At 36.7% G+C, this 25,264-nt stretch overlaps 1 protein-coding gene across 10 annotated transcripts in view; it reads right to left on the bottom strand.

Annotated features, from left to right (window-relative positions):
• PHF3 (PHD finger protein 3) overlaps positions 1–25,264 on the bottom strand; it is a 90,210-nt gene that overhangs the window by 46,806 nt on the left and 18,140 nt on the right. For 3 of the 10 annotated variants that reach the window (NM_001290259.2, XM_047418529.1, XM_047418530.1), the window contains one exon: positions 186–378. The exons of 6 other annotated variants lie outside the window; for them this stretch is intronic. The gene's annotated coding sequence lies outside the window, so the exon portion shown is untranslated. Of the gene's footprint in view, positions 1–185; positions 379–7,358; positions 7,921–25,264 lie in introns of all 10 variants that reach the window. One more of the 10 variants, XM_047418528.1, reaches the window with a different exon arrangement.

Raw genomic sequence — 25,264 nt, 5'->3', positions numbered from 1 at the left:
AATTCTAAATGTGCAGTTGTATGAAATCTTGCCAAAAAGAACGTGATTATTTAGACCAGCAAGTCTGGATTCAAATCCTTACTAGAACGTTTAAAAAAAAAAAAAAACACCTTTATCAAGTCACTTAACCTCTCTATCAGTTTCTTTACCTCTAAAATGAGAATAACAATACCTGTCCTACCTACCTCACAGGGCTGTTGTGAGGATCAAGTGAGATGATGTATGAGAACTCACTCTGTAAACTTTAGAGCACTATACAAATGTTAGTTATTATCTTCATCCTAGGGGTTAGAAGGAACCTCAAGGAGTTATCTAGTCCTCATCTTTGTGTCCAAGTAGAACTTCATTTAAAAGAGCTCAACAAGATAGTGGTCTATCCTAAAATTTAAAGAGAACAAAATTCTTCATAAGTTTACCTTTAAATGACACAATCTTTTTGAAGAGCAATTTGACAACAAACAGAATCATGAAACTGCTCATATGCTTTGATCAAAATAAATTTAAAGAGAGGAAAGAATGGATTATGAAGAAAATGCTGACCAGAAAACAGTGTGATCCTTGTTAGAAACAAACACACAAATAAAATGCATGCATATGTACATTTAGATAGAAAAAAAAAAAAGATTGGCAGAAAACAGATGAAAATTATACCAGTAATCATACACAGTAATTCTTATCCATAAACAGATAAGAATATACCTTTTTCCTATTTTCCAAATTTCCTGCTATAAGCATGTATTATAAAAGTAAAAATAGAGCCCACGCTTTTAACCATTATGCTATGCGCTAAAAGTTTGGAGGAGAATATGCTTTAGAAAAATTAATCAGGATTAATTTAAGATATAATTTGTGTAAAGACAGGTAGGAACTCCAGTTAGGCTATTCCACCATGATGGAATATTGGTTGCCACACATTCACATACATCCTCAGGTTTTTGTTGCTGTTGTTTTTTGTTGTTTTTTGTTTTTTTTTCTTTTTTTTTTTGAGACGGAGTCTCACTCTTGCCCAAGCTGGAGTGCAGTGGTGCGATCTTGGCTCACTGCAACCTCCACCTCCCAGGTTCAAGTGATTCTCCTGCCTCAGCCTCCCAAGTAGCTGGGAATACAGGTGTGTGCCATCATGCCCAGCTAATTTTTGTATTTTTAGTAGAGACGGGGTTTAGCCATGTTGGCCAGGCTGGTCTCGAACTCCTGACCTCAGGTGATCCGTCTGCCTTGGCCTCCCAAAGTGCTGGGATTACAGGTGTGAACCACTGCACCCAGCCTCAAAAAAGTTTTGACATTAGATTACAGGTCTACTATGCTCCTTTAAATACATAAATTTTAAGACTACTTTTCATTAATTCTGTAGAAAAGCATATATATATAGTATATGCATTACAAAGATGCATAAGAAACATTAATAGGAAAAACACAACAGACTGTTCAATCAGTGATTTAGTTGTAAGGAATTTTGCCATTGCTGTTGTTTTTTAACCTTCATTATACTTTCTCTGACTTTTCCAAGTTTTCTATAATGAGCATGTATTCTACAATGTAAACAGGAGAAAAAAAGAACCATCCAAAATAGAAAAACAGACCAGAAGGAAAGCCTGATGAATAGTGTTTGTTGACAGGGAGTGAAGTCATGTAATGAATTTTAGAGCTGTATTACAAAGCAGAATCAACAGGATTTCGCAAGCCAAATCCAAAGGTCAATTATCAGGTTTTAAATTATTCCATTTCCTAGCAGCATCTGACACAGCTGATTCCTCTCCACTTTCTGAATCTCCTTTTTTTTCACTTCACTTCTGGGATACCACATCCTCCCATTTCCCTAGCCACTTGTCAACAGCCTTTGATAAAGCCTTCTCTTCCTGCAGACATCTACATACTGAAGGATACAACAGTTCAGTCCCCCCATCTTTCTTCTTTATCTACACTCATACTCACTCATCCCTTCACACTCACTTATCCCTAAGGTGATCTTATCCAGGCCCATCTATACTCTAATGATTCCCATAGGTATCTTCTCCAGCCCGAAGCTCATGAGACCTTCAGAAGAGTGTAATCTGACATCTTCATTAAGTTGTCTAATAAGTACCTCAAAGTTAACATACCAAAAATAAACACTGATTCTACCAATCCTCCCTCCCCCTCAAAAAACTGTTCCTCCCAAGGTATTCAGAGTAAATGGAACCTCCAAATCACCTAGTTCAATTCTAAAACTCTAGAACTGTCCTTAGCTCCTCTCCCCATATCTGACACATCCAAGCTATCGGCATATCCTGCTAGCTTTATCTTCAAAATGTATCACACATCTGACCAGCTAACATGCTACTCCCAAATCACATCTCTCATCTAAGACTGTAACAGCCTCCTAGTGTCCCAGGTTTCTCTACTGCCATCCCCTCTCCCCTGACAGTTTATTCTCCACACAGTTATCACTGTGATCCTTCTAAAATATTAAGTCAGATCACGTTAATATTCTTCTGTTCAAAATCCTCTAAAACCTTCCCAACACATTTAGACATAAAGCCCAAAATCCTAGCCAGGGCCCACAGGGTCCTATAACAAGATCTTCTCCTGCCAACTTCTTTGACTTCATCTCCTCCCCCTGCTGATTCACTCTCCTCCAGTCACACTGGCTTTTCCTGAACATAGGGAAGCATAAGCCCATCTCCAGGTTTTTGCACTTGCTATTCCCGCTGCATGAAGGCTCTTCTCCCAAATACCCATAACTCATTCTTTCCCTTCCTTCAGGTTTTACTTACATGTCACCTTCTCAGAGAAACCTTCCCTAACCACCTTATGCAAAACAGCACATATTCCCATTACTGCCTATGGATCCTTAGCATACTTTATCCTTTAAAATGTTTCTCTATATGACATTAAGTATCTGACAGTCTTCTCCACTAGAGTGTAAGCTGCACAGGTAAGGACCTTTGTCTCCTATTTGTGGCTGAATCCCCAGAACCTAGAATAACAACCTTGTGTATAGTAGGTATTCCAGAAAATATTTGCTGAATAAAAGAATTATGAGAAAAGACAGACTGGGAGAACTTAAGCCTTGATGAGTGAGAGAAAATGTTTCTATTGACCAAACAGAGAAGTTGGAAAGAACAAATTTGGAAGTAACATACTGACTTCACTTTTTTGATATATTGAAGACATGAAGGAAAAAGATCAGACAAAAGATGCATCAAGGTAAAGCAACATCACAAAAATTTCAAAGTAGTGGGAATCAGGAAGGTTAACTGCTACACAAAGAACGAATAAAGGAGAGAAATCCACTAGTTTGACACACAAAGCAGAGAATCAGATGAGAAGGAGTTAAGAAGTAAGTAAATGAAGAATGACAATAATTGTAGTCGCTTTTAAGTTTAATGGAGGAAAGTGAAGAGAAGGAAGGGGACAGAAGAGGGAAAAATCAACAGAGATCTGACCATGTTTATATGTGCTGGAAAATAACTTGGAAGGTAAGTGATGACTTGAGGTTCTATCATTGAACAACCTCTTGGTCAACAATCTACAATTAGAATAACTAAGACTGCATTTGAGATGTTTCTCAAAGGTAAGATTTCCAAGCATGCATCTTTTTTTGAACTCCTGCTCCTCCTGACAACACACTTCCTTCAACTCAAAAATCCATTTCTACATTAAATCAAGCTCTACATTGCCTTCAGAGTTTCCAGAGCTCTCATGCTGAACATTCAAGAGCCCCAACAACAGAAGCACCTCCAGTATGTTTTTTCTTCCCACCTATATTCCAGAACTAGGTACTAGGTGCCATTCTCATTTTTACCCCCAAGTCTGAAACTTAATGCCAACTTTATAACAGAGGAAATAACTGATCTAGAAGTAGTTAAGCTGAGTTTGACCTTTGTGCTGCCAGCATAATCATCACATAACAAATGTGAAAAACTCCCTACTAGTCCTGCCTTGTAATTTTCCTTTTTGTGTGGTATTAAAGTGATTTAAACCAATCCCTACTGTTGAGAAATGGAATAAATTTAACCCCAAATGGTTCTGAAATTTTGGCATAAAATCCATGATCATACTCAGAAATCTCTTCGAGCCTGATTTTACATCACATTCAAATTCCTCCCATCCCAACCCCAAATTGCCCTAATTAAACTTGCTTAAGTGAAGTCCTCCTGACCTTGATACTATTTTAACTCCAGACTATGTAATTTAAACCTATCTTTTTGGAAAGGGGACAAATGAGATAAAGAGAATAAAAACCATTCAGAGTTAAATTTATTGCACTGCTCAACAATAGAGATTTGTTTAAATCACTTTAATACCATACAAAGGGGGAGAATTACAAATCAGTAACAGGAGGGACTCTTCACATTTGGAATGCGTTAATTATGCAGGCAGCACAAAGGTCAAACTTAGCTCAACTATTATACTTCTACGTCGGTTATTTCCTCTATTACAAAGTTGGCAGTAAGTACCAGACTTGAGGGGGAAAAGAACATATCTGTGCAGTATCACAACAATAAAGAATAGATATCTACTTTATAGGGGCTGTGTTAAGTATAGTAAGAAAATATGTGAACACCTCCTCTTAACAGAGCCCCTACACCTTACCCCTCTAACATCGCAGGAGATCACCAGTCTCTACTTGACCACCCGTTGGTAAGAGTTCTTTCCTTCATGAATGAGTAACAGATTCACTCCAAAAAGAGGCTGAGGTATGATACACTACATCGAGTTGTATGTTACATACAATTAACTATTTGGGAATGAATTTATCCTTGTAGATATTATCATGTTCTTAATTTGAAAAAAATTAACAATGCTATATAAATAATGCTTTTCTTCCCCTCTTCTATTCCTTCTTTACGATACATTTTAAAACACAGGTTCACTGAGTTGAAGATGGTATATATATACACCATATATATGTGTGTGTGTATATATACACACACATATATATTCATTTTTACTCTTAGATATCATCAAATGTCTCTCCAAAAATATAAAATATTTACAGTGCAAAGGGCTTCATATTGTCTCAATAAGAACTCACTAGCACTAATTTCAGATTTTTAAAAGAAACATGGTTACTAAAAAAGCTTGAATACTGTGTGGATTTATACACCGCCTTTTTGTATATCTTTAAGTTTGTCAGTTATTAAGTCAAATTTAAAATTTCCCTATTAATTCTTAAGTACTTTGTATAAGGCAAAAGAGCTTCTATAAAAGAGCAACGAATTCGGCTGCCCAGGAATGGCAGCTTTACCAGATACAGCAAAAGCCACCCCTATCCTTTGACTGAATGTTTTTCTCTGCAATATGGCTTTAGCCCAAACTATGCAAACTCTAAAGACAGATAAGGTGAAATACTTGGCTCCTGTCAACTCCCTTACCTTTATAGTTAAGAGGAGGAGATATTCACCTTTTTGGTACAGCCACAGTTTGGTGCCCATTTGCTACTTTTTCTTACCTGGTAGGTTAGACTTTCAGTTGTAAGGTATTGGGATGCTTTTGCTTAGAAAGGGTCTGGGAGGCATTCCAGTCTCAGGCGGGTACCCTGCCCCCTTGATTTTTCAAGGAACCCTCAGCCCCATCCTTGAAGAAAACATGTTTTGCAAGTTTCTAGAAATCTGAGCCAGAAATTAGAAATCAATTTACTGATTGTTGTAGATGTGAAGGATTAACCTTAACAAACAGACAAGAGGCTGACAGAAGTGAGCTAGGTCTTGCTTATCCTGTTATTAGGTATTTCGTGGAATAAGCAGTTGAAGCTGGAGAAGGACGAGAAGAAACGGTGATTTTTTTTTTTAATGTTTCAGGGGTTTTCTCCTATGGTTATCCTGAGTTGGGGTTTATAAGGCAGCACAGGCTGCCTAATGCTGCTTTTTTATGAACTGAAATCACTTTGGGATATTTTTTCTGCAACACTGGAAAATTTTATTTAAAAACAAAAAATACTTAAGCAGATATCTGTATCTTTTCAATCCTTTTCTAAGAGACAATACTTATTGGGTCTGCACCTCCACACTTGAGCTTGTTAGCGGTGCTGTTTCTGCTGTTAGCCATGTTAAAGTGTTAATCCTGCACATTTGGTAATACAAGATTGTTGACATTAAAAAAAAAAATCCCAAGCATAGACAAAACAAAGAATAAGACAGTGTTGAAGGAAAAACTTGAGGAGAAATAAATTTGAAGGAGCTTTACTGAGCAGTGAACAACTCATGAATCAGGCAGCCCCCAAAATCACAGCAGATTCAGAGAGACTCCTAGGGTGCCTCTTGGTCAGAACAAATTTATAGACAAAAAAGGGAAGGGAAAGTGACATACAGAAATCGGCAGTGAGGTACAGAAACAGCTGGATTGGTTACAGGTTGGTGTTTGCCTTATGTGAACACACTTTGAACACACAGAAGTCTGAGTGGTTCAAGTATGGCGGCTGGGATTGACCAATACTCAGCTATTGTTACAGGCACATACTCCCAAGTTAGGTTTCTAATCTGTCTGCTGTTAAGCTAGGTTACGGCTCATCCACAAGGACTCAAATATAGAAGTAGAGTCCTTCTCAGGCATATTTAGTTTGCTTTAACAGTAGATATCCTATCATGTAACCACAAACCATACCTGTGGAAAACAGAGCAGTAGAAACCTAACCATAAAACATGATCTTCTAATTTCATTAAAGGAGTATCTAAATATAGGACATTATAATAAAGGCTAAAAATGTATTAAAGTGTTTTTTAACCTACCAAGCAACATTATGAAATTAAGAAAAATAAAAAAATACACATTCCAAATTTTCATTTCGATTAGCTCTGTCTGCCCTATGTGTATAAAAACAGGCAGAAAGGAGGCACTTGGCCAGACACTAACCAATTTTAGAAAATCTATGGTGACATAAAGTATACACTCTGTTAATATGAGTATCTGTGTCTGTGGAGAAGGGGAGAATACTTTATGGATTGCTTCCTAATTGTTTAAATATTATTTTTATTTCTTAGATTTTTTTATGCAATAGCACATGAGAAAGTTATTGTCTCATAGTTCATTTATTTATACAGCCCACTAATTACAGACTTGGTTCGGTAAAAAACTGTAAATATTGGCCAGGCACGGTGGCTCACGCCTGCAATCCCAGCACTTTGGGAGGCTGAGGCGGACAGACGACAAGGTCAGAAGATTGAGACCATCCTGGCCAACATGGTAAAACCCCATCTCTACTAAAAACACAAAAATTAGCTGGGCGTGGTGGCACGCAGATCATGAGATCAGGAGATCAAGACCATCCTGGCCAACATGGTGAAACCCCATCTCTACTAAAAATACAAAAATTAGCTGGGTGTGGTGGTGCGTGCCTGTAATCCCAGCTACTTGGGAGGCTGAGGCAGGAGAATCACCTGAACCAGGTAGTCGAAGGTTCCAGTGAGCCGAGATCGCACCACTGCAACTCCAGCCTGGCGACAGAGGACGACTCCGTCTCAAAAACAAAACAAAACAAAACAACTGTAAATATGAATGTAAGCATGTAAACACAACCCTCAGAGATACTAGAACTATTTAGTAACCATGAATTACTTTAATCTGATAAAAGTATTAACTAAACATTTTGAGTACCCTTCATTTGCTATTTCTCTGCTTGGAATGTACTTTACTTGCCTAGGATTTTCAAAAGGCTGGCCACTACGAGTACCTCAGCATGCAGCTACTCTCAATGTTTGAGAGAGGCCTTCCCTAACTAGCCCAAGTCAAATAAACCATGACCTCTGCCACCAAAAAGCAATTAGACATTTTCTATCACCTTACAATTTACTAGGCTGACACAAAAGTAATCGTGTTTCTTCCCATTGAGAGTAATGGCCAAAGCCACAATCAATTTTGCACTAACCTAATACTTGCCGGCTCCATGAGGGCAAGGACTTTGTCTCAAACACCACTCTATCCTCCAGCACTGGAAACAGTCTGGCATATGATAGGTATGCAATAAATATTTGTTAAACAAACAGTACAGTACCAATCACTTTTATCTCAAAGAAAATCATTATACCTTACATACGATTGTTGTAAACTGCTGATCCCTGGAATGTTATTTAATGAAAATCACGTTACTGTAAAACAGGAATAGGTTTAAAAAAAAAAAAGCAGCTCGACCATCTTATAATATGGATCTCATTATTATTCATTGAGTTTCACATTCTAATAAGTCAATTCCCAACTAGGCACTTCATTCTGTAACATTTCAGTTCCATTTACTCAAATATATGAAAAAAACAGACACAAACAGGACCACCAAAAGAGTTCTTAGAGAATCACATATTTTTTTCAGTAAAAGAGGCCAGGAAACTGAGTTAAACAATTTACAGCCCTAATTTGTAGTAGCCCAGGAAAAGACTATTATGCTACTATATGCTCCACTAAATAGAATTAAAACTCCACAAGAGCAGGAATTTGTTATTCTTTTGTTTTCTGATGTATCACTAGTGCTAGAACAGCAGCTGGAACATAAAATATTCAGTCTTAAAACATAGCTTAAATGAACAAATGCATGAGTGCATACAAAAATATCATGGCTCTATCTCAACAGATGAGAACCTCCATGTTCAACTAGACTCAAATCAGGAAGTTATCCTCAGCAATCAAAAGAAATAGAATAAAACACCTCCGCCGGGCACGGTGGCTCATGCCTGTAATCCCAGCACTTTGGGAGGCCGAGTTGGGCGGATCACAAGGTCAGGAGATCGAGACCATCCTGGCTAACGAGACCATCCTGGCTAACGTGGTGAAACCCCATCTCTACTAAAAATACAAAAAATTAGCCAGGCACGGTGGCAGGCACCTGTAGTCCCAGCTACTTGGGAGGTTGAGGCAGGACAATGGCGTGAACCCAGGAGGCAGAGCTTTCAGTGAGCCGAGATAGCGCCACTGCAGTCCAGCCTGGGCGTTAAGAGCGAGACTCCATCTCAAAAAAGCAAAAAAACAAAAAAACAAAAAACACCTCTACTCCATCACATAGTGTTGACTAACCCATGCAGAAGTCAGAATTAGGATGACAGTTTAGAAAGCACAGATGAGAAGGAAGCATCCAAACATGGAATAACCAAATAACTACAAAAAAAGCTGCTCACTCAAAAAGATCCAATTAGTAGCATTTTTCAGGGTGTATGCCTAAGAATCACAGTCTCCTTTTAAGAGTATAAAAACGGTTCTATAAAAGGAACTTTCATCAAGTATATTAAAGAGATTAAAGATATGAACCTTAATAGAAAAAAAAATGTCAACTCTGTAATAAATTTGGAACACATAAGAGAATTACTACAACTTGGAAAACACAATTCTGATAAACATACCTAGGTAAAGGTCATAACTTAATGAGAAAAAAATTATTATTATATGTATTCAGCCTTGAAACAGCAGTAAAATGTATCTTGCTCCATTCTATAATGTAGGTTTAGAAGTCAGTAAATGCTTCCTGTTATCTTCCATAAGTTTCTCTGGCCTCTTATGAACAGTTTAGAATGGGTAATCCCTTACATCAAGTTCATTTCAGTTAACTTTCCAACTCTAGAGCCTTCCTCAAGAAAAATCAAGTATATAGAAACCCTCAGAGAAAAACTACTTTAATATGGTTTATTTGTCCATGTGTTTTACATATATACACACCTTTTTAAGAGTGTAGTCCCTTATTTTTATTTCACATATTTCTAATAACTCAAGTTTCCTGGCCTCTCACAATTAGACGAATGGATCGAATATTTTAGATGTTTGAGAAAGATAAACTAGAAGGTCCTAAGACGGTATTATAAAAAGACGAGAAACACATCATTCAAAAGCAATTTTTTTCCTAGTGTATTTGTCCCAGGCCCAGTTAATACAGGGACCAAAAGCCTTACCTACAAAAACAGTACCTAAGGATGTTGCTAATAAGTAATAATACAATCACTGGTTTCCCAAGACTACTAAATCAACAGTTAAAAGCTAAATTATGTTCACTATACTGCTTTAAAAAGGAAGAATTATCAATATAGTTTTTTAAATGTCAGTTTCTTGAAGATTTATTTACAATAATTATTTCCCTAAATCATCACAAGAATGTTTCTGTATTAAAGCCAAGACTGATCTGTCCACTAATCAAGGTCATTTATTTGACAATTTTCCTGTCACCAGTGTGTATCAAATTTAATTTAAAGCATGATCAACATTCAGCCTTAAGATAAGGGAAAAATTTTCTACCAAACCCTCACAACCGATCAGTTAATTTCCAAGCTGACCTCCTTTTACATATTTCACATGCTTTTTTGAAGTTGCATATCAAGAAATCTTATACTGAAATTGATTGTAATTATACACGTAACAGAGGAAAATATGGTCCTAAGGCCAAAATTAAAAATCGCAGAATGAAAAAAAATCAGCAAGTACTTTTAGAAGCATTCTGCCTCTATAACAGTAACAAAACTATGCAATGGAACACACAATTAAAAGTACATCTCACTGACTACATTGTGAGGTGATTGGGTTAAAAAAAAATTTGAGCATCTTAAGGAAAAAAGCACTGTGACATATATATTTTTTTAATCTATGAACTCATTATAACCATCAAAAAGGAAAGAGGGCCGGGTGCAGTGGCTCAAGCCTATAATCCCAGGTTTAGGAAGCCGATGTGGGACAATCACTTGAGCCCAGGAGTTCAAGACTAGCCTGGGCAACATGGAGAGACCCCATCTATACAAAAATAAAAAATAAAAAATAAATTAGCAGGTATGATGGTACACACCTGTGGTCCCAGCTACTTGGGAAGCTGAGGCAGGAGGATCACTTAAGCCCAGGAGGTCGAGGCTGTAGTGAGCCATGATCACGCCACTGCACTGCAGCCTGGGCAATAGAGAGCCTGTCTCAAAAAAAAGGGGGAGGGAGGAGGAAGCCAAAAAAATTATTTGCCACCTCTGGCATTAGCAGTGATCATTTCACCAAAACTCTTTACTCTGAAAGATCATTCCTCCAACTCCTAACTCTGAAATGTTCATTCTTTCCTTCTAATCTGCCTCTTCAGTAGGAACTGTAAGCAACCAGGTAATGAAACAAAACTTTCCCTTACCAGAATGCAGCAAATAAATGTAAAAGAAAAGTTAGATTTAGAAAGCCATCATTTTGCTACAACTGACTCCAGCGAATATCATCAATGGATGCATAAAACCATTAGGAAAAAGGCTGATGAGGAAATAAATATTTTCATATTGCCAAGGCTGCATCGCTGTGCAGATTACTTGCCATCTCAAGTATTTAGGAAGAAGAGATTTTGCTCTCACTACCTTAACCCAGTAATCCAATTTAACATCAAGAGTCAGATGATAAACATTCTAAGATGTGACATTATACAGCTTCACCTATGAAGTTTTCCGAATGCCAAATATGTTTGACTCTAATCAAGTTTTTAAACCTAATTTCCAACTTGCAGAAAATCCAGTTTAAAAAATCTAAAACTCAGGATGTTGCTAAGAGACATTTGGTCTTACCTGTTCAAAATGTATCAATGGAAAAAGGAGTGCAGAGACTTCGGAAATACAACTAAATGCCAAACTAGGTCCTTGATTACAACCTGAGTTGAACAAACCGGGTGAAAATAATAGCTTGGGGACAAATGACTAATTTGAACATGGACAGGATATTAGATGATACCTGGAAATTGTTTCTTAGGTGTAGTTATGGTATTGTTATATATAAGTCCTTTTTGGGAAGATACATGATAAAGTTCAACTAAATGGGTAGACTGGATGGATGAACTGGTAAACTGATAAATTAATACAACAAATATAGCAAAATATTAACAGCTGTTGAATATTGGTGATGACTAAATGTGAGTATACTGTACTTTGTTTTTCAGTATGTTTTAAATTTTCAAAATACAAAATTAAATTAAAAATTTTTTTAAAGCTTAAAATAACAAGTATCCTTAACCAGGTATCTAAATAGCATATATCTCATTTACAGTCTACTTTGTTCCAAAACATATTTAAAGTGTCTTTTAAAAGGATATACAGTCAACCCTCCAAATCCATGGGTTCTTCATATGTGAATAAAACCAACAGCATATCAAAAATATTTGGGAAGGCTGAGTATGGTACTCATATCTGTAATCCCAGCACTTTCGAAGGCCAAGGTAGGAGGATTGCTTGAGCCCAGGGGTTCGAGACCAGCCTGGGCAACATAAGGAGACCCCGCCTCTGCAATCCCAGCACTTTGAGAGGCCAAGGCAGGCAGATCACTTGAGGTCAGGAGTTCAAGACCAGCCTGGCAAACACGGTGAAATGCTGTCTCTACTAAAAATACAAAAACTAGCTGGGCATGGTGGCACGTGCCTGTAATCCCAGCTACTTGGGAGGCTGAGGCAGGAGAATGGCTTGAACCCGGGAGGCAGACAGTGCAGTGAGCTGAGATTACACCACTGCACTCCAGCCTGGGCAACTGAGCAAGACTCCATCTCAAAAAAAAAAAAAAGGAGGGGGACAATGATGTCTGTATGAAACATGTACAGCCTTTTTTTTCTTGTCATTATTCCCTAAAGAATACTTCACCACAACTATTTACACAGCACTTACATTGTATTAGGTATAATTCAAAGATGATTTAAAATACATAGGAGGATGTGCACAGGTTATATGCAAATATACACCATTTTATACCAGAGACTTGAACATATGAGTATACTGGTATTGTGGCAGGGAGAAGTCCTGGAACCAATCCCCTATGGATACCGCGGAATGACTCTACAATATAAGGGAATGTTTTAAAAGAAAAAAAAAATGCTGACAAACACGAAGCAAATATATATATATTAAAGATTATTAAAATCTTTATGCCACATATATATATGTAAATATATATACGTAAGAAACTAAGATGAACTCAAGAATAATGTCAGTACCCAGAGTAAGTTACAAATATTTACTTTCATTAGGTGTTCCCTGATCTCATGAAGACTAAAAGTCAAAGTTTGTCAGGTATTCAGCAAAGCTCTTTAATGGAGAAACACATGAAAAAACAGTCAGTATACCTTAAAAAGGTACTACCTCTAAATTGGTCACTCCTTCAAAAGACATCCTTATAGCAGCTTTTATTAGACTTTATACATTAAGCAAATCATTTCCTAAGGGGGTGTGTATAACTAAAGCGGTAGACATGACAATCAATCTATGATTAACTGCTACCTAAATTTTAAAAAGAAATCAAACTTAACTAGTATTTAATCAGATTGCCACTAGTATCCTTGATGAATACATGTCAGTCAATTTATCCAAAAGGAAGGATACTGAAAGAGTAAAAATTCCATAAAGTAGAGAGGAGTTGACACCCTTTTGTTTGCCTTCAGCACTTTGCATTGTTACAGAATGTCATTAATATAAATATAGTTCCTTTTATACTAAAAATACTTTGTAAAAACAGTAGACTGTTTACAGTAATTTTAGGCCAGGTGCAGCAGCTCATGCCTGTAATCCTAGCACTTTGGGAGGCTGAGATGGGTGGATCACTTGAGGTTAGGAGTTCGAAACTAGCCTGGCCAACATGATGAAGCCCCGTCTCTACTAAAAAAGACAACAATATTAGCCAGGTGTGGTGGCAGGCACCTGTAATCCCAGCTGCTTGGGTGGCTGAGGCAAAAGAATTGCTTGAAGCCGGAGGCGGAGGTTGCAGTGAGCCAAGATCACACCACTGCAGTCCATCCTGGGCAACAGAGCAAGACTCTGTCTCAAAAAAAAAAAAAAAAAACAAAAAAAAACCACAAAGCGAAACAGTAATTTTAATGAAACAGGAAGTGATTATTAAAATCTTTATGCCACAAAAAAATTATCCATTAATTCATAGCAAAGGACTTAAAAGAGCTATTATACTTAATAAATTACACATTTTTGGTTTACAAAATAAATGTTCTACAAATGAGACAAGTGTTAGAAACGTGCTGGCCTTTTCTAAGTAGATGTGATAAGTCATATGAGAAAATACACACCTTTAATCTGTCCCTTCTAGATAAAATGATATTTTAGTGATAAGAAAGAAACTCTTTTTCTTACTTTAAAAAGAAAAAACTCGGGCTAAGAAAATTGATGTTTAGGTATGTTTTCATTGTTACGTATTATCTGGCTAAAAAATGAAATGTGGCACTTAAAAAATGTTTTTAATCTGGACATTTAAAAATTTTCCCAAATAAAAAAGTTCAGTGAATTTTGATCTCATATAGTAATAATTATTTAATGTAACCACTTCCTAGTAGTTTTAAAAAACAAGCACACTGAAAGATGGCAGAAATGTTCTAATTAACTAAAATAAAAGCTTTTCTGTATTTAAAACAAAAAAAACTAAGATTATAACTTACAATAAATTTCTATTATTGTAGTTATTGTACAATAACTACAATAAATTTCTTCCATTTAAATGTATGTATAATCGAGTTATCTTTTTCAGCTATGATAGCCATTAAAACCCAGTATCAAGCTCAACTTGGAACCAGATATGTAAAAAATTTTATCAAAATAAGATGAAATTTCCAAAACTAATTAAGCATGTGCAATCATAATGCATTCCAAGTAAGTTCTTATACAACTAATAATTTTAGTTAATAATTTGAAAAGTATAAATATTTTATCTATGGCTCAACATTTTAAAATATTTAATATCTACTGTATTTGTTATACAAAATACATTAATACAGTAAAACAGTAAGACAAGTAATATAAATACACGTAAAAATACTGGTGTGCACTCAAATGTCTTATATATAAACTTACACAATCAAAAAAGTTTGGTTATCTTACCTTAATGAAATATCTCCAATACACAAGTAGCAATTTTGACACCCATCTCCTTCAGAGTAAAACAAGAATTGAATCTCCCTCTAAAATTTCTGATACGAGCAAATGATCATGCTCTATGAACAGAGAACTGGACTTTATCTGATTCCCAAGTTCCACTTGTTAGGGAGGAAATACAGATATACAGTCTAGAAGTCTTTGACAAGTGAGGCAGGATGTGCTCTGAAAAAAAGCCTAGTAGTCAAACCTGGGTCCCAGGATGACCAATGAACTAGGAAAAGGTACTGATCTCAGATTCCTCACAGACTGAACTATAGAAATTGTACTTGAAACTGCTAGCTGTTGCCCAATAACCATTCAGCCATTCTCCCTCATTTACTGGAATTCCTATTTTTTAGCTGGGTACATGGTTACCCATAAAAAAAATGACACTTTTCAATCTACCTTACTGATAGATGAGGTTACTAAGGTGTGGCCAATGGGATGTGAGTAGAAATGAACATACAACTTTCAAGATACAATTTTAAATGAAGGAGATATTACCTTTCCCTCCCCTTTTTTATTGAGTGGAATCAATATCTAATAGCTGAAGGGGCCATCTCAAATTATGCAATAAAGGTGAAATTAGTCATCACACATAATAGCGCAAGGTAGAAGGAGCTTGGGTCCCTGGCACTGTGCGACTCCATACTAGCTCTCAGTCACTTCCTTCTGAGCTACTGCAATTTCTTTCTTTATACCACTGTTATCTGGAGTTTTCTATCACTGTTAGCTGAGTGTAATCCTAACTAAAACCAAGGCCAAAAATTCTGAGTCAAGATGATGACTCAGTAAATTACAACCTATGGGAAGCAAATCCATGATGGCAACAGAGACTAGGAAAATAATATAAAGTCTGGAGTACAGAAAGTGTTTCTGGGGTCAGACAGGAGGCTGAGGAAATGAGAAATGGACAGCCAGGGAGGCTAAGGAGGTCTAGGTCTATGATTTGGAGAAATCTAGGTAGCCAGCTTTCCTACTTCTCTAAAAAAACAAGGATCTGCCACTGCCAAGGAATTATGAAATTCAGCTTCTGTAGCTGGCGGGTACAGAAGCTATCCTATTTCTAGGATAGTGAAGGCGAACCAAGGATAGGGCCTTGAAACAAGTAATCACACTTCTGGGCCACTATAAATTAGCCAGTCTCATCTTGAGATCCCGTAAGAATCAAGATGCAGCTCTCTATCTTTCATCAGAATTTCTTTTTGATCAGTGTCCTCAAAAGATAGCAAAGACCTTAGAGATTTTATTATTTACTTTGCTTCCTGACAGAAAAAAATTAGTAATTATGAGGCTAATTAGACAAAGGAAAAGGAGGTCAAAACTAAGGTTAAGAAAACATTTGCTCAAGGATCCTTGATATTCTTTATATCAAAATTATTTTTTTATTCACTTCCTTAAACTATCCAGGCTGTTGTCCACTCAACTTAAGGGGACTATTCACACTGTATCTTCTGAGATTGGTACCAACTGGAGTTGTCAACCAGTAAAATGCTCTCATCCTAATCTCAGACTCTGTTTATAGAAAATTAGCTTTAGCAGGAAAATAGAAATGACATCAATTATGCTTTAAACAATGTCACCATTTTGGATATTCTCATACTTCAGGAAACTTCCATGTAATCATTCCATGACAATTTATCGTTCTTGTTATGTAAGCACATATTTGATAACTAATTTGTCATTCACGATTCACTTAAAGACATGATAAAAAAACCTATGACCAAAGACCAAAATTAGGGAAAGACAGTATTTTAGGGAGGAAGAGATGGCAGAAAATAGTGCCAATACCAGTAGATCCAGATCAGAAATCTTTTGAGAAGATCCTCCAACTAAGCAATAAATATGGAAGGGAAAAGAGTACAAGGGGAGAAGACACAGGTCTACAGAGTTCCAAAAGAATCCAGGCAGCAACTATAGTAAAAATGGCAACAAGGGATTCTGCAATCCTGTCATGACTAGAAGAAAACAGCGAGAAAAATCACTAGAACTAAAGAAAATAAAATTGATGAATTTTACTCAGCTAGTTCTTACTTTAAATGTGGGCTATAAAACAAAAATTATACCAAAATGATCTTCCTTTGTGTCTGAAGCTGTGGAGCTTCTCCTGTCTATTTAAGGCATTAAAGAGGACCCCAAAATAACTTTTTGAGGAAAATTTTGGCCCTGTCCTCTACAGCAGTGGCCCCCAACCTTTTTGGCACCCGGGACCAGTTTCATGGAAGACAATTTTTCCACGGATGAGGGGGTGGTTTTGTGATAAAATTGTTCCACCTCAGATCATCACACATCAGATTCTCATAAGCAGAGCACAACCTAGATCCCTCACATGCAGAGTTCACAATAGGGTTCGCGCTCCTATGAAAATCTAATGCCACCGCTGATCTGACAGGAGGTGGAACTCAAGCGGTAATGCTCACTGGCCCGCAGCTCACCTGTTGCTGTGCAGCTGGGTTCCTAACAGGCCCCAAACTGGTACTAGTCCATGGCCCACAGTCTGGGGACCCCTGCTCTACAACAAGGACAGCAGAACAGCCTCCTATTCTAAGAAACACTCCTATCAGAGCCTAAATTTATGCAATCTCATACCCAGCTCTGGTGATCAATAAAACTTATGTATAGGGCAAAAGAAAACAAAAGGCTAATTACATTCTCAACAGTTCTCAGATAGTATCATATAACTCATCTTCTTATCAATATATTAAAAAATCTAGTGAGAACTGATATCCAAGGTAGGCTGTTTGAAAGATAACTTAAAATCTACCTGGGATTGGATCAGTCAGACCATGATGTTAGCCCCTGTAATACTGCTCATACTGGAATATATATTGAGGGATATAAGAAAAAGCCCTATGTTCATTGAAATTATGTTAAAGATTTTTTTATATCACACTGGTTGAAATTTCTTTCCAGTTTTAGTGTCAAAAATTATTTTCCTTTTCCTAGATACTAAATTTGTTTTTACATTCAGGACATTGTATTCTTCACCTTGGAATGTTTCCTCTTCAATAGTAATTGCTATAAATCTGATAGGCAAAGTTGTACCCCACCTGCATCAAACATTTTATTTTCTTAACTTCTAGTCTCATTATCTGGTCCCACTTTTTTCTTGTGCGTTTTTCCAGTCAAAATTTACTAAATGCCTACTATTCTAGTGCCGGTATGAATAACATACATAGCTGCAATCCCTGCCTTCCTGGAGGTAAATTATTTAAATATCTTTAATAATTAAAGTATGGCTAAACCTCCATGAATAATTCCTGGGATTAAACACAGTAATGTTGAGAACTGCAAGAACTGTAAAGGGTCTGGGATTTTTTACCCTACTCACAAACTAATGAACTAGCCCATTACTGATTCATGTTTACTGACAGAAGACACAAGGGTACTGGGTAAAAGACAAAGAACTCTGTCACCCATGGCACAGCAAGCAGCATGATGACAAGATAACCCTGTCTCCTCAAGTTCCACAGGGACAACACAGATATGCCTATACAGATGCCTACAAACACAGTGGGTTGAAATACAGGAGAGCAACATTGTTGAAAAGGCATTGCCTTTTATAGTGAGCAGTAAGCAAGCCTGCTGATTGTCGAGTTAAGAGGTAGGGGTGAGAGAGCAAATGTAATGTCATCCTTCAATGCTGCTTGCTGCAATTATGACCCTGAGAAATGGTCCAGGAAAAGAGTGGTCAGGACCTTGCTTTCTTGCCATGCTGAGCAAGAAAGCTCAAGAACACTCAAAACTCATGGCAGACAACCTCTCCCAGTAAGTTTATGTTAAATAACTAGACTTATTAAACATCCTGGGAAAATAAGAAGAAAAATTATTTCTATACTAAACTTTAAGCTCCATTAAGAAGAGATCATCAAGTTTTGTTTTACTCAACATTGTATGTCCACTGCCTAGCATATTACCTAGCATATAACAGACATTCAATAAATGAATAAAGTCAAAATCAGCTAATTTGTACAAAAAAATTATCCAAGTTAATGTTTATTCCTAAACCACAATTTCTTCAACTGTAAAATGAGTATGAAGTTAGAGGTTTTTTCTTATATCTAGTTGCATTCCATCCTGAATCAACTTTATCTGATAAAGAAGGGTTCAAGTAGCTTGCAGTACACGTCTACCTGTTGGCATTTATCAAAGGCACATCTTTAGAGCACGTCTCTGGTATTCAAGATTAACAAAATCACTGGCCAATGACTATTTTTCTGTCTAAATTGCTTGGTCTTTAATAACTAAGCGCCATTTTGGGCACTCACACATCTTTCCTACAAACACACATATATTCTTTAAACAGGAAAAAGAACTATCTTCTTTGTTCTTTCAAGAACAAAACTAAAAAGAAACACACACACACACAAAAACAAAATAACATCCTAATCTTGCTGACTACAAAGCTAAATGAAATCTGAGAACCGATTTAGAGCACTGATCTTAACAGAACTTATGTACTTGAAGGCAAAAAAAATTTAGAATGATTGCAATCTATGTACCATGACTTACATATTAATAACCTCAGGAAATTAACCATTCTCAAAACTTCAGTTTACTGGGCTATAAAATGAGATTAATAGTACAGGTTGAGTATCCCTAACCCAAAAATCAAAATACAAAATACAAAACTTTTTGAACACCAAAATGACATTCAAAAGGATATGCTCATTGGAGCATTTTGGAGTTGGGATTTTCAGATTAGGCTGGCTTGCTGAACGAGTAAGTATAATGCAAATACCAAAAAATAAAATCCAAAATCTGAAACACTTCTGGTCCTAAGCATTTCAGGTAAGGGATACTCAACCTGTAGTATCTACAGCTCTTAAGGTTTTCGTGAAGATTTAGTAAGATAGAGCTAGCAAAGTAGTTTTGCACAGTATTTGGTACATTAACATCCACACATTTTAACTATTTTTTCAACTTCCTTTATATATAAAATCCCTTAAGAGAAAAGAGCTGGGTGCTTTCTTTTTAAGCTGCATCTGCCTACAATACTCATCTTGAAATCACTTTCTCAAAAATCCTAAGATTAACACTAGTTTCATGACAACATATATAAAATAGCAGTTCAAAGAATAATTTATCATCTTCTGAGTTTTTGGGACCTTACTGTGATGGTTAATTTGATTTTTTAATTATTTAGTTGACAATAATATATGTTTATGGTGTACAACATATTTTGATATATGTATACATTGTGGAATGGCTAAATCAAATTAATTAACATGCATTAACTCACATCAACTTTTTTGTGGTGAGAGATTGTTCACTTTATACGTCAACTTGGCTAGGCCATGATTCCCCAATATCTGGTCAAACACAAGTCTAAATGCTGCTGTGAAAGTATTTTTTAAATAATTAACATTTAAACCAAAAGACTTGAGTAAAAAAGATTACTCTCCACAATATGGGTCAGCCACAATCAATTAGGTAAAGGTCTTCAGAGACAAAAATGGAGGTCCCCTGAATAAGAGAAATTCTGCTTCCAAAATGCCTTTGGACTCAAACTGCAACATCAACTCTTCCCTAGGTCTCCAGCCTGCCAGCCTACCCTGCAGATTTTGGGCTTGCCAGCCAGTCTCCACAATCACATAAGCCAACTCCTTAAAATCAATCAATCAATCTCTCCCTCTCTCTCTCGTTATAAACACACACACACACACACACACACACACACACACACACACACACACACAAAATCTATTGGTTCTGTTTCTCTGGAAAACCTTGCAAACTCAGTGAAGTTTGTTAATAGCTTTATTACTAACACAAAATTAATATTACTAACAGATGAAAAAATCTGAAAGCAAGGAAAGTAATGCAAACACACCATAAAAGAAATAAACATCAAGGTAACAACGGAGAGGGTTCCAAAATCCCTAAGTAAAAATTACTGGATGCCAGAAATTTTATATTTATTATGACTTAATTAAAAGAGTCACTGGTTCAATATGGCAGACTTTGTACATCTTTATTTCTCTCCCCACCCCCAAATCCCATTAAAATGAGAAGAAACAGAAGGTAAAAACCTGTAACAACAAAGTGAATAAAAAGAAGACCAAAAGCAAATGAAAGATTTAAATACAATTCTAGGAGATGAAGAGAAAACTGAACAGAAAAGATTACTAAAACAGAGCATGAAAAAGTCATAGCCTAGAGTCCAAAGGAGCTGAAGCTTAAGAAGTTGTGAACAACCTTGTCTAACTTTTAGAATCTCTAAAAATGAAATGATAGATGGTATAAGTAGTGAGCTGGGCTAGACATAAGGATTAACTGAAAGCCTTAATACTTTAATACTGAGAGGTCAACCTCATCTCTTCCCCTACTTGAATACCCAGCAAGGCCTACAACCAAGCATTGAACTCAAAGTAAGAGAAAGTATTTTCTTAACCCTGAACTTAAATTGAATGAACTGAAGGAAATAGGACAGTTACCATCTAATGATAAGGTACTTCTCACCCTGGTTCCCCAAAATAACCTCAGGCTATCTATCTAAAGCCTACTTATCCCACAGCAAAACTTGACTAGATTTCCTATTCACTGTAAATATTAACAACCAACCAAAAATAATCTGACCTTTGGGGAAAGCACACAGTACTATGAGAAAGATCAAAATAAACAAATAGGAAAATTAATTCAGACTATATATAAAGAGAGATTTATTCAGTTGACCCTTGAACAACATGGGTTTGAACTGCGCAGTTCCACTTATACATCGATTTTCTTCTACCTCTGCCACCTGTGCGACAGCAAGACTAGCCACTAGCCCCTGTTCTTCCTCCTCCTCCACAACCTACTAAACATGAAGATGAAGATGAAGACTTTTTTAATGATCCACTTCCACTTAATGAATATTAAATACATATTCTTTTTGATGATTTTCTTCATGACATTTCTCTAGTGTACTTTATTGTAAGAATACAGTAGATAATACACGTAACATATAATGTACAAAATATGTGTTAATCAGCTGTTTCTGCTATCAGTAAGGCTTCCAGTCAACATAGGCTATTAGTACTTAAGTTTGGGGGAAGATAAAAGTTATATGCGAATTTCTGAATGCAAAGAATGGGGGCTCTGTGACCCTAAATCCCACATTATTCAAGAGCCTACTGTATATCCCTTTGAGAATAGACTACTACTAAAAACATGGAATAAAGAGAATACATGAAAGAATTCTTAGCAACAGTAAAATATTTGTCAAAATGAAATATCCAAAGAGGTGGAAAATATGGCAATAAGCATCTAGAAAGACATAAAGCAAAATGTTGGAAAGACACAAGAAATACGTAAAAAGCACCAGCCAACATCTGTCTTCCAGGAGTTTGCAGAGAAAACACAAGAAAAGTTCCCAGACTTGAAGAGAACACACTCCAAATTGAAAAGGCCCACCAAGTGCCCAGGGAAATAAATGAAAGGCTAATGCAGATACATCACTGCAATTTCAGAACATCAAAAGGTAAAGAGAAGATCCTAAACTGGGTTGGAGGAAAGGCAACCTAACAATGCAGCAAGCCTTATATAAGTATCAGGCAACACAGCAGCAATATTAAATGCTAGATGGCTAAGAAACAATGAGTTAAAATTTGAAGGAAAAGTGATATTCAACTTTGGATTCTATGTAAAACCAAATCATTACTCAAGTATGAGAGTATTAGAAAATTACCAAGGACTTCAACAAAGAAAGAGGGTATAGATAAAAAATAAAGAAGATCGAATACAGGGAAACAACAGCTCTAATCAAGGAGAGCAGTAAAGCTCAGAGACAGAAGATGTATAACATGCCTAGAAAATGACAAACTCAGGGGGCTCTGGGCAACAAATCTCCAGGGGAAAAATGAATTCAATAGACCAATAGTAGGCTCAAAATCTTGGAAAAAGAAGTCTCTTGTAACAGCACAGAAATGCAAGTTTATACAAACACACATACAAACACACAGTCAGCAACTGTACTAGAATAAAAACTGTACTAGTCTTGGTCCAAGGTGTCTTGGTTTTTTTAGGGTTTCAGTAATACAATGGAATAAATTTAAGCAACAGATGAAGAAACAAAAACTATCAGAGATACAGTAATGAAGACAAGATTAATTTTATTTCACATTTTAAGTTAAAAAGACAAAAAATTAAATAGTCAATGCAAAGTACAACTAAGATATATTCAGTTTTATATTATGTCAAGCTATGGAAAGCAAAAATAAATGTAAGCAAGTAGAACTAAAACAGAAAAGCCACAGAATATGCAAAATAAAGACTTCAACTGGAAAGCTCCGGCCTTGGGCCAGAAATTCCCTACTCTGGATTTTCTGAATTTATAAAGTGATACTTTAGTGTTTACATTAAAAGATGTGTATGTTTTAACTCTGAGTTCAATTGTTACTTTTGTTATTAAGGATGGCTGCAGCAATGACTATGGAAAAATATTTGAAAAGAACTGCACAATCTATTAGAAATGTCTAAAGCAGGGCCGGGCACAGTGGTTCATGCCTGTAATCCCAGAACTTTGAGAGGACAAGGCGGCAGAATGGCTTGAGCCCAGGAGTTCAAGACCAGCCTGGGCAACATAGCAAAACCCCAACACTGCAACAAAAAAAGAAAAAGAAGAAATATCTACATAGAACAGCAGTCTATAACCCAGAAAAAGCATAAGAAATAAAACAACAAGAAACAAACCGAACTGAGAGCAATTAAAGCTGCTTATATAAATGTAGTAGTTACCACTGTGCTTTTAAGCTATATTGCATATAATTTAAAGAAGCTATGAAATACATAAAGCCTACCAATAAAACTTAGGACTAAAGTGAACATAAAAAATCATTTGTATTTCTTTTTATAAAAAGAAATAACAGTTTCATGGATAATTTAGTTTGGAACAGACCTTAAAAGGTCACCTGAAGCCAGGCGCAGTGGCACATGCCTATAATCCCAGCACTTTGGGGGGCTAAGGTGGGCAGCTCGCTTGAGCTCAGGAGTTTGAGACCAGCCTAAGCAACATGGTGAAACCCTGTCTCTACAAAAAAACACAAAAACAGGCCGGGCATGGTGGCTCACACCTGTAATCTCAACACTTTGGGAAGCCAACGCAGGTGGATCACCTGAAGTCAGGAGTTCAAGACCAGCCTGATCAACATGGAGAAACCCTATCTCTACTAAAAATACAAAACATTAGCCAGGCATGGTGGCGGGCATGGTGGTGGGCACCTATAATCCCAGCTACTTAGGAGGCTGAGGCAGGAGAATTGCTTGAACCCGGGAGGCGGAGGTTGCAGTGAGCTGAGATAGTGTCATTGCACTACAGCCTGAGCAACAAGAGTGAAACTCTGTCTCAAAAATAATAATAATAATAATTAGCAGGGCGTGGCAGCACACACCTGTAGTCCCAACAACTAGGCAGGCTGAGGTGGGAGGATCACTTGAGCCTGGGAAGTGGACGTTGCAGTGAGCTGAGATTGTACCACTGCACTCCAGCCTGGGCAACACAGTGAGAGCCCCATCTCGAAAAAAAAAAAAAAAAAAAAGGTCACCTAATACAAATAACTATCTGATGCCTGAATCCCCACTGAAACACCTCAGTCAACGGGTCATAACCAGCAAAAGCGAAAATCCTATATGCCCAGCCAGGGAACCTATTATTCCATTTTGGAGAACCACAAGTTCCCCCTTTTAGCCACTTAAACTCTGCCTCCCTCTAACTGCTGCCTAAGGGACCTAGGTCTTTCCCTTTTATTCATAAAGAAGTCAAATCTCTTATCAATATGATAAACTTCCAAATATCTATGGCAGCTACTAGGTCATACTCTTTCGATCTTTTGGCATTTCCTCTTCTTCCCTAAGTTACAGCTCTAATTCTATGAAGTGTTTACCTCTCTTTTATCTTTTGCTCTCTTCAAAACATACTCCACATTCATCTGAACCTCTCTACGTAAAACTCAAAATGATATGTAATCTTAATCATCAATCTTACAGAAATTTTTATTCTTAAAGGGTATGTATGTGCTTACAAGGTTCATCAGTTCATCTTGTTCAACATTTGATAAAAAGTATATACTTTGTCTTAACCAATGTATTTCCATCTCATCTGCATGGCTACACGTATTAAATTTGTATTTTTCATGTTCAACCATGATTGTCTCTGTAATAATAAGTCTCCCATCAAAGAAAAGCCCAGGACCCAGTCTTCACTGCAGAATTCTATCAAACATTTAAAGAACAAATACCAATTCTCAAATTCTTCCAGAAAATTGAAGAGGAGGGAATTCTTCCTAACCCATTCTGTGTGGCTAACAGTACCCTGATACCAAAACCAGACAAAAACACAACAAAAAAAGAAAATTAGAGGCCAATATCCCTGATTAATATAAATGCAAAAATCCTAGCAAACTGAATCCAGCAGCACATTAAAAAGATCACTCACCACAATCAAGTAGCATTTATCCCAGGAATGCAAGAATGGTTTAACATATGAA

Source organism: Homo sapiens, chromosome 6, assembly GCF_000001405.40.
Source record: "Homo sapiens chromosome 6, GRCh38.p14 Primary Assembly".
Taxonomy (NCBI): Eukaryota; Metazoa; Chordata; class Mammalia; order Primates; family Hominidae; genus Homo; species Homo sapiens.
Note: the sequence above shows the minus strand (reverse complement) of the source record. Positions and strands in the feature narration are given on the sequence as shown.